This window comes from Homo sapiens, chromosome 7, assembly GCF_000001405.40.
Source record: "Homo sapiens chromosome 7, GRCh38.p14 Primary Assembly".
NCBI classification, from domain to species: domain Eukaryota; kingdom Metazoa; phylum Chordata; class Mammalia; order Primates; family Hominidae; genus Homo; species Homo sapiens.
The window spans coordinates 37,015,331-37,028,547 of NC_000007.14; the positions used below are offsets into that span (position 1 = coordinate 37,015,331).

Consider the following 13,217-nt stretch of genomic DNA (forward strand, 5'->3'; position numbering starts at 1 on the left):
GCTCACACTTGTAATCCCAGCACTTTGGGAGGCCGAGGCGGGTGGATCATCTGAGGTCAGAAGTTTGAAAGACCAGCCTGGCCAACATGCTGAAATCCTGTCTCTACTAAAAACACAAAAATTAGCTGGGCATGGTGGCATGCCGCTGTAGTCCCAGCTACTCTGGAGGCTGAGACAGGAGAATCGCTTGAATCCAGGAGCTGGAGGTTGCAGTGAACCGAGATCACACCACCGCACTCCAGCCTGGGCGACAAGAGCGAAACTCCGTCTCCCAAAAAACAGAAAAAAAGAAAAAATAGGAAATGAAGTCCCCTCTGCCTTCTCCCTTGGCTTCAAAGCAGATCAAATAAGCCAACTGAGGGCAAAGTGCTTTGGACAGGATACAAGTTAACACCGATATGGAGGGAAGTGGTGGTGATGACAATAAATATTGCACCTGCCTACTGTTTCCAGGAATGTGAGTTTTTCTGTGATTTTTCCACACTAATTCCTAGTCCAGCCTGTTCACATTTCAACAGTTAGAAGCAAAAACATATAAGTGATCCCACCCCAGCCTGTGTTACTAGCAGAGAGATGGCAAATGTGAAGTTTTGACTTGCGATACAAAGCTATTTAAGAAACTCAGAAGATCAACACTGGCAGACTGTGTGGTTTGCTGCCCTGGGCAATGAGCGGTTGGTCTCCCTTTTATAAGCACCAAAGCCAATGAAATTTACAAATCTTCAGCTGTACCTTAAAACACTATTGCCATCTAAGAATTTGTTATTAATCACATTATCACAGTATCATTTTTGGATCTAGTGTGATTATTTGTGTACTTTATGCCCTAAAGTTTTTATGTGATGAGTGGAGCTAAGAAAGCCAGAAAAAGCTGAGACTTGCAAGTCCTACTCTTGCTTGGGTAAAGAGGGAAGTGACATCATTAATAATTAACTAGATAATTCGTTGGGTACATATGGCATGCCAACAGCTCTACAAGCACTATTCTTGTAACAACCCTGGAAGGTAGGCCTTATGGACATCCTCATTTTATATATGAGAAAGGTAAAACTTGGATAAATAACACCTTCCATCATGAGCTTTTTTTAGTTGGCCCCAAATGAGCGTCTGAAACCCACAGTCAGCTGACCCAGCAGCAGGCTTCCTCCTTTAGTTGACATCAAGAGCTCATTGCATTTCTCTGTGGTTGCTGCTTTGAAAATTAATTCCTCCACCCATTCTCTTAGGTCTCCCGTACTCCTCCTTCAACATAAACCCAGATCATGACCTGCAGTCCAATGTGGATCACAGCAAGTGCGTAGCCAGTGCCTGCTGACTGAGAACACTCGGCCATGAGATAGCAGTACCAAGGCCTGCACCGCCAGCAGCCACGCACCGGGCACTGAATGATGGACTTCATAGTCACTTATTATGTCAGGCACAAAAGGAAGATATTACTAACTTCTTTTTAAGATTATAAATAGGAGATTGAGAAAGGCTCGGTGACTTCTCCAAGGTCACATGGTTTGCAAGTGGTGGTGCTAGAATTCAAGGTCGAGTTGGCTCCAAAGCGCATCATTATTCTGCTTCACTTGCTTTCCTCATTCTGTTTCTCAATTAACCCTGCCTCCAATGCACCTCCACCAACACAAATCTGAAACAATTGTTTTTCTATCCACAGAAAATATTTATGAAGTAAAACCTTACAAGAGGCACAGCTTCACCTATTAATGCTGATGTATATTTACTGTGTAAGATTCCTCTGCTTTCCTCCTACTACTTGTGGCTTACATGGAGTTAGACTGGAATACCAGGGTTACGCTCCCCTTCTGGACCTTACTCCTCCTTTCCTGGGTCTGGGCAAAGCTGCACTCTCAACCTTGCTGAGCAGCCAAGAAATCATCTACCTGGTTCCTAGCTTCTGCTGAACCAACCCTTTTTTCTTCCTCAAGATATTTTATCTTTCTCAGCTTCTCTAACGTATCAAGGTTTCCCCAGGTACTCAGGCACTAGGGAAAGGTCACATTGAATGAGTGTATTTGATTTATTTCAAAAAGCTCACCAGCTGGGTTTCATGTTAATAGAACCTGAGTTTTGTTCATGACAACAATGTGCCCAGCTAAAAAAGTACAATTTGCGCCTCCCTTGTGATTAAGAGTCGTCATATGACCCAATCCCAAATAATAGATAAGTGAAAACTGCTGGGCACTGTTCCCAGGAAAGACCTTTAAAAGGGGAAAGACTTGGTTGACTTGTGGCCTTTTGTCTCTGCCTCCCCACTTCAACTTCTTCATGTCTGGAACACAGGACTGATGACTGGAGCTCCTGCAGCCATTTTGTCAGCATAAAAATGAGGGCTATACCCTAGACAGTTAGTAGGAGCTCCTGATGACACTGTGGAGACACCACAGCAAATGGAATTGGAATTCTTTTGAATGTAATTCTTTGTACACAATTTGTTGGTATGTAATTTGTTTAAGCCATGTGAAATTACTAATATATTAAAAAAAACCCAAGCAAGCACATTGACAATAGCATAAGAAAACATGTGCTCAAGATCACTGGAGGTCAGAGAAAACACAGGAATGAGGAGGCAGGATAGAGAGTGAGACAGACTTGCATTCGAATAATTAAATGTGATGCCCCCTAGCGTGCCATAGAACTTTAGACAAATAAACCCCCCTGAACCTGTTTCCTCATCTGTGAAATATATAACTACATAAAGTCCGTAAGCATCAAGTTAGATTATGTATATAAAGTGTGCAGTAAAGTGCCTAGCACATGGCATAGAATTAGTAAACAGTGGCTATTAGTTACTATTTTTTTTTTTTTTTGAGACAGAGTTTTGCTCCTGTTGCCCAGGCTGGAGAGCAATGGCGTGATCTCAGCTCACCACAACCTCCGCCTCCTGGGTTCAAGAGATTCTCCTGCCTCAGCCTCCCAAGTAGCTGGGATTATAGGCCTGTGCCACCACACCTGGCTAATTGTGTATTTTTAGTAGAGACAGGGTTTCTCCATGCTGGTCAGGCTGGTCTTGAACTCCTGACCTCAGGTGATCTGCCCGCCTCACCCTCCCAAAGTGCTGGGATTACAGGTGTGAAACACTGTGCCTGGCCTACTTACTATTTTTAATCAAGCACATGGCATAGGCTTAGTAAATGGTAGCTATTAGTTACTATTTTTTTTTTATGAAGTCTTGTTTTGTCGCCCAGGCTGGGGTGCAAAGGTGCAATCGTGGCTCACTGCAACCTCTTCCTCCTGGGTTCCAGCGATTCTCCTGCCTCAGCCTCCCAAATAGCTGGGACTACAGGTGCACGACACCACGCCTGGCTAATTTTTGTGTTTTTAGTAGAGATGGGGTTTTGCCATGTTGGCCAGGCTGGTCTCAAACTCCTGACCGCAGGTGATCTGCCCGCCTTGATCTCGCAAAGTGCTGCGATTACAGGCATAAGCCATCAGGCACAGCTAGTTACTATTTGTAATCAAGTACATGGCATAGGCTTAGTAAACGGTGGCTATTAGTTACTATTTTTAATCATCATTCTCAGCACATTATATAGCCTCTTAAAGACTCCAACAATTCTAGGAGATGAGGAAGGAAAGAGGAATCTGGTGAATGGCCTTTAGGGTCCCATAGATAAGCGGGGGGCGGGGGTGCTTAGAGTCAACCAATCATTCTTGATGATATGTCAAAAACCTACTGAACTATTCAGACTTCAAAGCTGAAATTTCACATGAGGAGGTAACTGTGTAGGGTAATATTCTAAGAGCTTTTCCTGTCTGAACTCTCTGAATGTGTAACAACGACAAAGGTCCTATTATTATCATCCCTGTTTCACAGATGAGAAAATTGAGGAACTGTGAAGATGAGTAACTAGCAGCAACAGTGCCAGAAATCAAACCCAGCATTGTATCTCCAGCACTGGTGTTTCTGACCTCCACATGAAGGGGTTGGCCTGCCATCATTCTAAGATTCTTGAAGACTCCTCCTTTGCAGGGAGATACAGGCAAATAACAAAGTAAGAATAACTTGGTTCTTGACAGGTAACAAAAGAAACAGTGAAAAGGCTTTTGTGTATTTGGATACAAACTTCATCATTTCGCTGTGAGGATCAAATGGGAACAGTGACTAAGACAGCAAGCTCAATCCAAGTGTGGGCCAACACGGTGGCCATGTTCACCATTTATCAAGTGGAGCCTCTCCCAGGCTACACGTTTATACACGAGAGCTTGTCACCTTGCAGAGATAGCCTAAGTCTAAGAATAGAGTTCTTAGGTTTAAATAAACAAAGAAAACCAGGAAGGGTGAGGTTTATTATTGTTTTTAAAGGAAAACAATACTTACTGAGAAAAAAGAATTAGCAGACAATATTTTATAAATGAAATTTAGAGAGACACTTTCAATGGGACAAAAATAGTAAGACGTTTAAAAACGAAATTGTTTTAATCACACTATTTTTAACACAATGAGATTTTACTTTATTTTAAAAACCCAACACAATGGTTTTTTAAGTCTGGAATATTAAGATATTTTCAGGACTGAGGGTACAATTTGCTGATATCTCATTCACTTATAAGCAAGCCAGCTTTGAAAGCAGCTATAACCTGAACATACATATTTTTAAAAATAAAAATAAAATGCTGTACACTTATGTACCACTTTGCCTGTCAAAGTAGATATGTTCCTATTTTTCACTGGGTAATGTGTAGTGGGGCAGGTATTGTCACTGGCTCTCAGAAAACAAGGGTTACTGCACTGTAGCAAACAAGCAATGAAAAATGAGCGTAGGGAATGGGTCTAGAGCTGACCATAACCTTACAAAGGTCATTGCAGCTCCCTGGGCTCCAGATTTCCTACCTGCAAATGAGTTGGGCTAATGGATTTGTAAGACCCCTGCCAAGTCCAAAATTCCAGCAGTCTCCATATACATAGATGCCAGATAATACATCTTCAACTCCCCAAAGCCCATCCAAAATTGTAGAACTTAGAGAGTCTGCCTGCACTGAACTTTAGTTCCCAAACTACTATTTCCTTTATTGACAGGATGACTACACATTTAATTTAGAGTGTGAAGACATTAGAGTGGTATTTGATAGGTTTAGCAAATGTTTGATGAGCAAGGATTTATTCTTTCTTTCGTAAGAAAATCGCCAATTGTTTTTACACTTTCTCAACTTGTTAATCCTACCTAATGCAGACCATTTCATAAGGAAATTACTTGACTAATGATAGAATGATAAGACGACGGGAAAATGCATACCATTTTCGCTCTCACAGGAATTTTCTAAAGACAAATACACATTTTGAGATGCTGAAAAGCTCTGTTCCATCCTTTCTATGACCTTGGTGATGCTAAGAGAGACTCTGAACCCATTTACAAATAACAGAGATTTGGGAGCACTGGGCAAATATGAATATTTTTTACCATGACTTCATGAGCTATTGCAACTGCCTTTGGAAATGGTGCACTTTGAAAAACACACGCACTGGCCTAACACAATGGATGTTTTGTTGTAAAATTATGAATTACAGGAAAAATGGAATATATCATACACACACAAAGGCATTTAACACAGAAAACCTGTTAGAGCAGTCATTAAAATCTGCCTGGTGATCCACAGCACAGAAACTTACATTAGAACTATTTGTGGTTCTAGGGTCAGTCTGGATAATATATTTATGAATTCTCTGATGCAGATGTATATTTATTCCTTTGTATAAAAATAATCTTACCGTACTTAGAAAACTTTGAGTTTTCTATTTTTAAACCTGGTATTCCTTAACAGTTTGATTTTGGAAGGTGGTACTGCGTGGGGAGATGCTAAAAGTTCAGAACCTTTTGTAGGTGGGAGAGGTGAAAAGAGGAGAGTGGGGTCAAGAACTTGAAGTTCCTTCACTGCCTATGAGTTCAGCCTAGATAGAAGCTACCACCCCTGCTATTTCAGGACAGGGGATCAGAGGCTTTAAACCTTCGCAGCTCTTCTCAGCTCCTGAAGTCTGGTTTAATAGAACTCTGGATAGTCTTTTGTATCCTAAAAATAGTATAAAATTTATACTGAAAAATAGCATGAAATTTATTCAATGCTTCATTGTTCACCTTCCCTTGGGCCTTTTTTGAGGACATGGAGAGAGGAAAAAAAATACCGACTAGTGTTAAGGCTGAAAATCAGCCTCATAGCACCAAAAGACAGCCAATTCAGCAAAAGTAATCAGAGGCCACATCCCAGGCACACAGTTAATAAAAGAGCAGAGCTTCTGCAGTCAGGTTGGCCTGCATGCAAATGTTGACGTCACTATTTAATAGCAATGTGACCTTGATCACCTTAAAATTCCTCCAGGCCTCTATATCCCCATTAAAAAAAAAGAAAAGAAAAGAAAAAAAGAAAAACCAATGGTTTCTATCTTATCAGATTGCTGTTAAGATTAAATGTAGAGTGATTCATATGTTAACCGAGATAAAGAACTCAATACATGTCAGTCGTTACTAGTTTTAATAACAAAGTAATTATTATTGTACCTAGCTAAAATGCCAAATTTGGAAAACTTTTGGGACCAAATATAAAGACTTGTAAAATGACAGCAATGAAGACAGTGTGGTATTGGTGTATGGATGGAAAAACAGAACAATAGAACAGAATAGGGAGTCCAGAGACCCATATATACAGTCACTGGATTTATGACAAAAATGACACTGCAGTGGAAAGGAATTTCAATTGGTTGAATTGGGCCAGTTGTATATGCATCTGGAAGAAATGAATTATGACTCCCTACCTCATACCATCTGCAAAGATCAGTTCTGCGTGGATTATAGATCTCAGTGCAAAAGGAAAAACAATAAAGTTGTTTTCATGTAAGAATATATTCATGACTTTAAGGTGGGCGAAAGTTTCTTAAACAAAACAGAAATATCATTAATCATAAGAAAACTGTTTGATTCTATTATATTAAACTCAAGAACTTGTTTGTCAAAATATACAATAAAAATGGCAACTTTGGAATAGAGAAAAAACTTCAACATTATCTAATAAAGAACTGGTATCTATGATATATAACCACTCCTATAAGTCACTAAGAAAAAGACAGACAACCCAGTAGAAGAATGGGCAAAACGTAAATAGGCACTTCACAAAATAGGACATATAAGTGGCCAATGAACACATGAAAAGGAGCTAAGCTTTTTAAGTCACAGAAAAAAATATGCAGCTTTAAACAACAATGAGCTACTTTTAAACATCCACCAGAAGGGCTAAAATAAAAGATGGAAAACATGAAGTGTTGATAAGAATGTGGAACAAATGGAATCATCATCCACTGTTGATGGGAGTGTAAAATTGTTCAACCACTTTGTAAAACAGTTTAGCAGTATTTACTAAAGCTAAAATATTCTTACTTTATAATACAGCAATTCTAGCCAAAGATATAAACCCAACAGAAATGCATACATACGCATTCCAAGAGAAATGTATATGAATGTTCACAGCAGCACTATTTGTTACAGCCAAAAACTTGAAACAATCTAAATGTCCATCCAGCAGATTGGATAAATAAATTATGGTTTATTCATACAGCAGCATACTTACTACAAAGAAATTATTTTTAAAAATGCTACATACAATATGAGTGTATTCAAATAACTTTCACAATAGCATGAATGAACTGAAACAAATATAATGTGGAGCAAAAACAGCCCCACATAAAAGAGACCATAGGATATGATCCTATTTATTTAAAGCTCAAAACAGGCAAAATTCACAGATGATAATGCAAACAGGGTATTGGTTCTTTTGGAAGAGAGAAGAAACTGAGAGTGGGAAGATGGCCCAAGAGGGGGCCTCTGAGGGTTGTTTAATATCTTTTCTTAATCTAGATAGCAGTTACATGGGCAGTTGGCGGTTTGGAAATTCATTGAGTTGTGTGTGTTCTTTGGATTTGAACACCTCTATGTAAGTTACACTTTTTATGAAAAGTTAACTTAAAAAGGTAGAATATGAGCTTTCCAGGAGCAGATATCCTGTCTATCCAGTAGACAAGATAAAACTATAACATTTCATACATATGATTTCAGTGGGCTTTTCAGAATGAGTGTGTATATCCTGCCCATCACCTCTAGAAATAGGGATTGACATTTTATGTAACTAAGTTTACTGGCTGGGTAAAAAAACTACATAACTGGTTTATGCAGGCATCCTGGACCAATCACCTAACTGCTATCAGCTTCTGAAGTTGGGCAGGGGGTACCTCTCCATACCTAAACTTTAGTTTAATTTCATCTGTTGGATGGATAAACGAGTATATGCATGCATTTTGTTTTTTTTGAGATGGAGTCTTGCTCTGTCACCCAGGCTGGAGTACAGTGGCACTATCTCGGCTCACTGCAACCCCCGCATCCTGGATTCAAGTGCTGGGATTACATGTGCGTGCCACCAAGCCTGGCTAATTTTTGTATTTTTTTTAGTAGAGACAGGGTTTCACCATGTTGGCCAGGCTGGTCTTGAACTCCTGACCTCAAGTGATCTGCCCACCTCAGCCTCTCAAAGTTCTGGGATTACAGGCATGAGCCACCGGCCTATGAATGCATTTTCTTTCGTGAATGGAGATCCCAGTCTTATTGAAGGGTACTGCAGATGTCAATGCAAAAACTGTAATAGACTTGACTAGTTGTGTATGAACTCTAAGAAGTGTTGCACGTTTCTTTCAAATCATCTCCCTCTCTTTTTCCTTCCCTCCCTTCCTTCATCCATTTATGGGTGCTTCCTTTCTCCCTCCTTCCCTCCTTTTCTCCTTCCTTCTGTCCATCCATTCATGTGCACATTATTCCATCTGTCGGTCGGTCCATCCATCCATCTAACTAGCAAGACGGTCACGAGCATGGCCCTGGAGCCAGTCTGTCTGAGTTTGGATCCTGGCACTGCCACTTATTATCTGTGTGACCTTGAGCTCATGAGCAAGGACAGATTGGTAAAAGGCAAGGCTGAAGAAACTGGCAGGCATCAGTTCGCACAACGCTTTGTAGACTGCATTAGGGAGGTGAACTTCAATGGGAAGCCATTAAAGGGGTTAAAATAGGAGTGTGATAAAGTGACAACTTTCCATCTCTTTTCTTACTTTTATTTTGGTCTCTGTTTAATGAAATTAAAATTCAGGTGATCTGAGGATTCTTGTTATTCTGGAATCCAGTGAACTGATATTTCAGCGTATTATGGATGAGTGATGAACCAGGTAAATACCTTAGCACAAAGTGGATAGGAGTGTCATTCTAGAGTTAGGACTGCAGCTAGAATTCTCCCTCTGCCACTTAACTGTGTGATCCCAACCAAGTCTGTTCATGTCCCTGAGACTCTTCTACTATGATGGGAATAACAAAAACTCATATCTTGTAGAATTGACTGAAGATATAGTGGAAAGATTCCCATAAAATGCTTAGTCCAGCACCTGACATTTGGTAAGCACTTCATAAATATTAGTCATAAAATGTTACACAGAATACAAATATGATTTTTTTTTCAAAAAAGTCCTTGATTTAAGGTTTAACTTGTGGTGAAATCTTATTTACTTAGCTTCGCGTTAGAAAGGTACCCTGATCTCCTAGAAAGTTATAGAGCAGCATTCCCAAGGTCATCTTGTGAGATGTTGAACTGAAAGGCAAAATATGCAGAAATTCCAGCAAATTAAGATTTCTGGTAAGTGCATGCTAAGTAACCCCTGGGAATTTGCTTATAATTGAAAAATGGTCTTGCCAATAGGCTCTGTGTTTGCTCTTTTCCTTTGTCCTCCAGTTGAAAACAATCAAGATGTGCACAGAAACAGAAGCTGGATCATTTACCCTTCATCCGTTGGCAAAATAATCATTTACTGGAGCTGCTTTTAGGTCTAGGAAATGCTGTTCTTGGCCCAAAGAGAAAAAATAACAATAAAAAACAACAACAATGAAAAAATTTTTTGGAGAGGAGTATCAAGTTTGTGATGTGAATTAGCAATGCAAAACTGAGTATGAAACACTTATCTTGCTAAATAGATTTTACTTATCTTCTGGGAGTGGTATTGATGAGGCATAGGGAGATGTAGCTAATTCTATGCATCAACCTGACTGGGCCAATGGGTGCCCAGATTAAACATTATTTCTGAGTGTGTTTGTGAGGGTATTCCCAGTTGAGATTAACATCTGAATAAGTGGACTCAATGAAGTAGATAGCTCTTCCCAAGGTGTGTGGGTAACGCCCAACCCTTGAGGGTCTGAATAGAACAAAAAGGTGGAGGAAAGAGGAACTTAGCCCTTTTTCTTGCCTCACTGCTTGAGCTGGGACATCTCGTCTCATTTTCCCCTGCCTGTGGACTGGGAGTTACATGATCAGTTCCCCTGGTTCTCAAGTCCTTGGACTTGGACTGAATTACACCACCAGCTCTTCTGGGTCTCCAGCTTTCAGATGGCAGTTTGTAGAACTTCTCAGCCTTCATAACTACATGAGATTATTCCTAATGATAAATCTCATATATATATACTTACATACATATATATCATATATATTCTATATATACATGAGATTTATAAGGATTCTCTGTCTCTCCAAATATATATATTATATATTCTATCTATCTATCTATCTATCTATCTATCTATCTATCTATTTTTTTCTATTGATTCTGTTTCTCTGGATAACCCTAATACAAGAAGGAGGAGCAGAAGATGAAAAGGAAAATTCTAGTTGTGTGGTAAACAGTTCAAGGCAGGGCAAAGGAAAATATATGCAAGAAGTGATTTCTGCATACCCTTGTTAAAACTTTCTTTACGAGGAAAATTATTCAGAGAAGTGGCGCATTAAGAGACTGTCATATGGCAAATTTACTGTGGATATAAGTAATTGCCTGTCCAACCATGTGAGATGGGCACCCAAGGATTATGTTGGGATACAGGCAGATTAATGAGCAGCTGGGATGTCCCTCACTGAAGACCCAGTAAGAACTGTGTCTGTCTTGCAGAGCCATGGTGTGACTTTAGATTACACCTTAACCTGGGGCTCAGAGCATTAGCCACGTCTAGGGAGCTGGCAAAATGGGCTAAAAATAAGCAATTCTGTATTGGATAAATGTGAATTTAAGGATAAATGCCAAGGATTGCTCATTGAACAGGTTCTTTCTTATCTTTGGTGCTCTGTAACTGACTCCCCTTCAAAAGTCATTACCTTGTAGTGATCACCTGTAGCTGTTAGAAAAAAATGCAAATACCTTAGCAAGGCATTCAACACTCATCTAAACTTGAGCCCACTCCACTACTTCTTGCTTTTCTCTGTGAATGCACCCTAAATTCAACCATAATTTATACCTCTGTGTCAAACAAACCACCCCTGATTGCATTTCCACATGCTTAGCTCTTGGTTTTCCCTCTACTTGGACCCCACTGAGTCAACCTCCAAAGCCCAGACCTCTGCTAATGGCACTTCACTTCTAAAGCTCTGTCCCACTTCTTTATGCTTCCATAGGTCTTTCATTTCCTCCTTCTATTTGGATTCCCACGCCTGATTAGAAACCTAGGGAAAGTGGAGAGGCTGGCTTTGTCATGTCTGCATCCTTCACGGCTCTCACATGGCCAGCCTTCCAGAAACACATGACTGCACTCCCTTCCTTGGTTTCCTGCCTCCTCATGCCTCCAGCTACATGCTTTTCTTCTATGTGGCTTTCATTATGTTCCACTTCAGGCACAGATCGTGGAGTATCCCTGAACATACACCACAGTCCTCCTGCAGCTGGGCCAGCACAGACACACAGCACTCTGGAAGGCTCCCCACAAGCTTCACCCACTGCCTTAAAATAGTTCATCCTTCAAAATGACCCATTCTTCCTCCCTCTCTCCCCCAACTTTCTGAAACTGAGTGTAGGTGTTCTCTTAAAAGAGAACAATGAATAACATCACAAAGAAGCAAATTCATTGCACAAATTCAACAGAAAACAAAAGCAAATCTGATTACGTTTTTAAAATACAGAGACATAGCCCTCCTCTGTACAACTGCCAACACCTAGTCCCCAGCAAGGGGATTCCCTTTACCATGCACCACCTGCCCCATTTACAGGAACCTACTTTGAGCAGGGGTACTGGGCTTAGTGCTCATCTCAGCCTCTGTCATGATAAACATATCACCTCAAGGACTGCATAACATTGTCAACTATGTGTTAATCCTGGACAAAGGCATTTAAGGGAGACGCAGGGGATATTAAGGGAATGATCCATTGATAGTCATGCTTTTGCTAATGTGAGATTCGAAAGGATAGAGATGTATACTAGTAAACAAAAATAGAGTTAAATATTTTAATATTTTTGCCTATTTACTGTTTGGTTCAGTCCCTTAAACAAGTGAGGGTGGCAAGGACCATAGCTCTTTGCTACCCAAGCTCGTGTGGGAAAGGTTGTGAGTGGAACACAGAGAGGCGCTCTTAGCACATGAACACAACCCCAGACCCCAAGAAGCATATCCTCCAGCACTGTGATAACAATTTAGGAAAAGGTCAAGCTCCACACAGGCACTTAACTGAGATTTACCAAAAAAAAAAAGGAATGCTAAAGGATAAGGCATTAAATATCAAACCAGTAACAGCTGGCTGGAAAACTTGAAAAGGACATAATCTGAGTAACATGACACTTGGGGGAATCTGCTTCAGCAAATTAAGAGAGCAGCCTAGAAAGGTGAGTTGTTTATCTTAGAATATTGCAATGACCATACTACGAGAACTGTCTTTTTTTTTTTTAACAAGTATTTTCTCATTTAATCTTCATAACAGTTCCACAAAGTTAGTGCAGCTATTATCATCCCCATTGTACAGATGAGAAAACAGAGGCACAGAGGAGTAAAGGATCTTGCCCAGACTCACAGAACTAACAAGAGGGAGAGCCAGGGTTTAACACCAGTTTGGGTACAGAATTCCCGGTATTTTGCTGCTCACTGGAGAAGTATTTCCTTTCATGGACAATTTTTAAGGCAGAAAGTTAATACTTTCTAGAAAGCTTATTTGCCGTGATTTTTAAAAACAGTTGATTCCACTTCTTTTTTCCTCCGACCTACCATTTTTATGGAGACTTGATCTTGCCAACTATCATAATTTTTTGGACATGCAATCCTTACAGTTGATAAAACAGCACAGAATTTTCCAATTTATCCATGGCAGACATGTATTCCCATAGAAATTTTATTGTTTTAATATTACTGGGGAGAAAAGTAGACAATTCACAGACTTTTCATTTCAAGGA

At 40.0% G+C, this 13,217-nt stretch overlaps 1 protein-coding gene across 14 annotated transcripts in view, besides 2 other annotated features; it reads right to left on the bottom strand.

Moving 5' to 3' along the window:
• Positions 1-13,217, bottom strand: part of ELMO1 (engulfment and cell motility 1) — a 596,421-nt gene that overhangs the window by 162,425 nt on the left and 420,779 nt on the right. The window lies entirely within an intron of this gene.
• Positions 11,710-11,759: an enhancer, noted in NCBI's record as "active region_25848". NCBI's record gives its function as "activates an Ori minimal core promoter by ATAC-STARR-seq in GM12878 lymphoblastoid cells {active_cell/tissue: GM12878}" and the evidence as "EXISTENCE:reporter gene assay evidence [ECO:0000049][PMID:35858748]".
• Positions 11,830-12,089: an enhancer, noted in NCBI's record as "active region_25849". NCBI's record gives its function as "activates an Ori minimal core promoter by ATAC-STARR-seq in GM12878 lymphoblastoid cells {active_cell/tissue: GM12878}" and the evidence as "EXISTENCE:reporter gene assay evidence [ECO:0000049][PMID:35858748]".